Below are 5,330 nucleotides of genomic sequence, written 5' to 3'. Positions count from 1 at the left end.
AAAAGAAAATCTTTAGCAGAATTTCATTGTCTTGTCAGGTATAGAAAGGATGCAAAATCAATAGAACAATTATTAAAAATAAAATAGAGACATTGAGGACATTTTGATAGTCTGAAATATACATCTAAAAGAAGCTACAAAAGCTGAAAATAGAGGGAATAGTTTGAAACAATATTCAAAAGGATGCAGCCTGGCCATCATGGTGAAACCCTGTCTCTACTAAAATAGAAAAATTAGCTGGGCATGGTGGCACGTACCTGTAATCCCAGCTACTCAGGAGGCTGAGGCAGGAGAATCGCTTGAACCTGGGAGGCAAAGGTTACAGTGAGCCAAGATCGTGCCGCTGCACTCCAACCCGGGCAAAAAGAGGGAGACTTCATCTAAAAAAAAAAAAAAGGATGAAGACTAAATGTTTTTTGATAATGAGTAGATATATATGTTTTCAGACTGAAATCAAAGAGTATGGCAGAATGAATTCTTGCCCCCCGTATTGTAACCTGCCTATTGTCAGACTTTGTAGTTTCTCTGCTTAGAGGGAGAGTGTACTTTCCTACCTCTGGACTTTGGCATTGGCCATGTGTCTGGGTTTGTCCATAGGTGGAAAGATGTGAAATGTTACTCCTGACCCCAAGCTACAGCTTCGTGGTATGCCTTGCCAAATCCTGACTGGGTCAGATGATCCCCAAACTTCCTGTGAATGTATGCGCATGAATGAATGAACGACGGTGTTTTAAACTGTTGAGTTTGGAGTTTGAGTTTTTACATAACAATAGCTCACTAATACAAGCATCGTGCAAGGTAACTAAAATAAACCCACGCCTAGACACAATGCAGTGAAATCTCACAGTATCAAGGATAAAGAAAAAAGTTTCTTAAAAACTACCTAAAAAAAGGTTGTCTGCAAAGCCACAGCAATGACAGTAATAGTAGATTTGACGTCAAAAGACAATAGATATCTAATTTAGAAATCTATGCACTGGTAAAATATGCTTTAAGAATGAGGGGGAAAAAAAAGAATGAGGGCAAGGTAAAAGAGACTGAAATATCCAGACTTTCACACTAAAACTACTACTGCTAAAAACTACCTGTAAAAAGGCATCATGGCTAAGACAATAATTATATGTTATAAGCCTCTTATTTAAAAACTCCAACAATTTTAATCCAAAGTGATAGGGAAAGTATTTAATAACAATTGGAAAAATCCTCCAAGAAAATGCAACAATTGTGACGTTGTGTGAGTTAATATGTGCAAAGTGCTAAGAATGTCTGGAACATAGTAAGGACTATCTAAATAAAACATTTTTAAAAATAAATAATCCTTTAGGATCTTGAGGATGTACTTACTATTATAATATTGATTTTAATATTAGTCTACTGGAAACTGATCAAGCAAATACAAAATATTAAGTGTGTAATAGAATTGAACAATATAATTAAAAAACTTAAAAATACACAGAACACTGCACAATGTAAATGCAGATATTTTCTTTTCAAGAAACCAGAAGACATTTTATTTCCTTTTTTTTTTTTTTTTTTTGGTTTTAAGGAGCAGAGAGTTTAATGGGCAAGGTAGAAGGGGGAAGAAAGAAGGAAGACGCTCCCCCCTGAACAGAGACAGAGGGAGGGGGGCTCCAAAGCCAAGAGAGGGAACCCCCCCTTTTTTTTTTTTTGGACATTTTCAAAATTGATTATATTGATGGTCACTGAGGAAGTCTCAGCTAATGTCAAATACATGATATAACGCAGATAATAGTCTCTCACCACGATTAAAATACATACCAAAATTAAAAACAATAACACCTTATGTATTTTAAAACAATATGTGACTGAAGAATTAATGAATTAGAGTGGATATCAAAATGAACTTAAAGCCAAAACAATAAACTTCTTATTCATTAACATTTATGAGATAAAGTAGTATTTACAGAAGAATGCATAGTCATACCCACATGTATTAAAAACAAGAGAATTTTAATCGTGTGTGTGTGTGTGTGAGTGTGTGTGTGTATATATATATATATATATATATATATATATATATATATATATATATATAAAACTTACTGGTGTCTATCCAAGAGAAATATTTATCCATAATACACAGGCTGCTTCAAATATTTGGTTTATATATATTCCATTCTAGAAGTTAGAAGTAAAGACTTAAAAATATAAGTAAGAAAGACATACATATATGTCATATATATGCCATATATATATCATATATATAAAAAATAACTGGGTATTCCATTGTAGGAGGTAGAAATAAAGAAAAGAATACATACAAAAATCTAAGTTAAAAAGACAAGAACATAAATAAGAATACACACACAATGTAAGTTAAAAAGACAAGAACATAAATAAAAACAAAACAAAAAAGATCAATAAAATCAAAAGCTGACTCTGAAAGCTCTAATAAAAAATACCGAATTTCAAGAAGGCAGAAACGAGATGGGCCAAGTTCAAAAGTTACAGGCAATAATAATTATTCTTATTTACAAATTGAATATAACTTTAAATTTGTAAAGAATTTCCACTTAATATTATACCCCTTAAAAAGATGATAGGGTTAGATGAATTTTATAGCTCATCCTCGTTCTTTCTAGAGAATAGGAAAAGGAGGCTGGTGGCTGTGGAACCACCATATTGTATAACTGTCAATAGTTATAGGTCAAGGAGGAAGAAAAGACAAACACACACCACACTGGAGCGAGTAAGAAAAGTTTAGCTAAATTACCTAATAGATATTTAAGGAAGTTTGTATAGTGAGGATACAGATTTAAAGGGATCACATTCATCCATTCATTCAGTCACCAAATATTGATTGAACACCTATCGAGTGTGTGATCGAGTGTGTGATTTTTTTTTTTAGACAGAAATTTCTGGTTGTCTCACATCTCCTCCACCATAGAGGAGTTAACTAAGAGACAAAGATCCTACCCTTACGGAGCTTACATTTTGATGGGCACGTAGGACTAAATGAAAGAGTCTCTATCTATATTTTTACCTCTGTCTATATTTACCTGTATCAGCTATCTAAATCTATATCTATCCATTCTCTCCATATTTAATGGTATATATAGAAAATATAACGTTAGCATATTAGAATTAGAATATCAAGAAGTAATAAATGCTCTGATGGCTTGTAAAGCAAAGTAAGGGAATAAAACATCACGAGGAGGGCTACTTTAAATCCTTTCACAGGAGGTGCCATTGAGCAGATAAGTGAATGGAGTGGAGGGTTTGTGGTACTATGGGAAGAACACAGCCGTGGGGAGATCCCTGAGTCCAGCGTGGCTTGGCCTGCTGGACACCTTCGAGGAAGAAGTTTTGTAGTGGTGAATGGGAGGAGACAATCCCTAGAGGCAGCCAGGGCTTGATCACAGAGTGTGTGTAGTTCATAAGAAGGACTGATGGAGAGTGAAGAGGTGGATTGGAGGTGAAGAGCGATGTGATTTGTTATGGTTTCTCAAGGATCACTCTGGATGTTGCCAGGAGGGTGAAAGCTGGGAGATAATGTAGGAAGCTACCGCAGGAATCTGGGTCTATAGTGATCGGATCCCTATCTGCCCCTCCAGCTTGACCTCACAACCGTCTATCTGAATAAGTAGGCATGTATGTGAAGGCTGTTATTAAAATGGCCCCCTTGCCCTTCCTTTCAAAAGACCAAATGTTCCTGGCACTTTTTATACTAATTTTATTCTCATTATTTAATCACTTGACTTGCCTTTCTTTGAAACCTCTCTAAATTATGCACATTTATCTTAAATTCTGTGGTCTAAAAATAGAAACACAACTCAAAGAGTGTTCAAAGTAAAATCAAGGAAATTAAGCTCAGGATGCAACATTTTCAATCCTGAAGTTAAATGTACGCTGATTAGTCATACAATTGTCATTTTTTTAAATAAAAGTTTTGGTTGCTGGTGGTTTTGCCCCCTATATAAAGAAGCTATTAATTTGGACATTTTTGCCATAGGGAGGCTGTTGTCTTAGGTCAGGCTTTCCTAGAAAGAGACTCAGAGAAGGAGACTGTGTGCTGGAGGTTTATTGTGAAGTGCTCTTGGGAATCACAACTGTAATGGAGTGAGAGAAACAGGACTGGATGGAGGAAGAAGCTCACCTGCAATGTAATTCTAGCCAGGGTCGCAGCAATTTTAGAACCGTTCTAATTTGAGCCAAGACATTGTCTTCATATGCCCACATCTGCTAATCAATGGATTCTGCATGCCGCTGGATGGAGCTATAACCTCCAGCAGGGCAGCTGCCTTTTGACCTGAGAACATTGCCTGGAGAGAGACTCAGGCACGAGTCTTTGCAGCTGGCAAGTGAGCACCTCAGTCCTAAGGAGGGGATCTGGGCAGCGCAGCATCTGTTATGGCTGCTTACTGATTCCTCATTGTGAGCAGTGGTGATAAATAGCATTTATCTTTTTGTGTGTCTCGTCATTCCAGAGTTAGTTATACTCTAAATCTGACTGTGAAAAGTTGCTCTGCTTAACTACGCATTCCTTGCAATTTGCCAAGGCTCAGCATCATTCTCATCTCCTCTGAGGATGCTTTCTTTCTAACCATGTCTTGTGCCATCTGCCAAATTCAGCACTCCCTACTTCTTTGAACCTTACTATACTTTGATTCTTTGTTTACAATAGGATGGAACCAAAAGCCAGAGAACCAATTAAAGGTCTCCCTACATTGGAAGCAATGCATCAGACAGTATAGAGAAATTCTGTCACACTACTTTTTGTTCTGCCCCATTTTCAACAGTTTTCATGAAGGTGGGAAGCTTTAATTGTCATAGCAGTTCTGAGCTCTACAGCTGGTATTTCTTATTAAGTGATTGTGGTGGGGGTGGCCAGGAGGGGGGCCGACAACAAAGGGGTCTGGACTTGAGATCCAGTTGGGAGAAGCAAGTGACCATTCCAGCAAGCTGCCAGAGTAGTCTAACCAGGACATGAAATGTCAATTTTTTTTTGACTGATTTTGGATGCTAAGGACATCCCTATCTTTATTCGTGAAAAAATAAGGAAGAAGAATTCCTACACAAAAAGCTCTTAAGTGAGGGATAGTATTTATCTTCCATGAATGAAAACAGGATCAGCCTATGGTGAAGTTTTTATATCTTGCTTAATAAAAATTGTTGTTACGTTTCTATTTATCTCATAAGCTCTTGTAAGAAGAACACTTCATTACATATTGGTATCCAGAGTGTCAGCCTTGATTTTTTTTATTTTCCTAAGTGCTGTGAGTGCAACTGGCTGTGGCTGGTGTCGTGGGAGGTAAAAGAATTTACCAAGACAGACAGTCATGGGTAAGGAAAGGCAGATTTATTAGGGA

Source organism: Homo sapiens, chromosome 1 (assembly GCF_000001405.40).
Source record: "Homo sapiens chromosome 1, GRCh38.p14 Primary Assembly".
NCBI lineage: Eukaryota > Metazoa > Chordata > Mammalia > Primates > Hominidae > Homo > Homo sapiens.
This window is presented reverse-complemented; position numbering follows the sequence as displayed.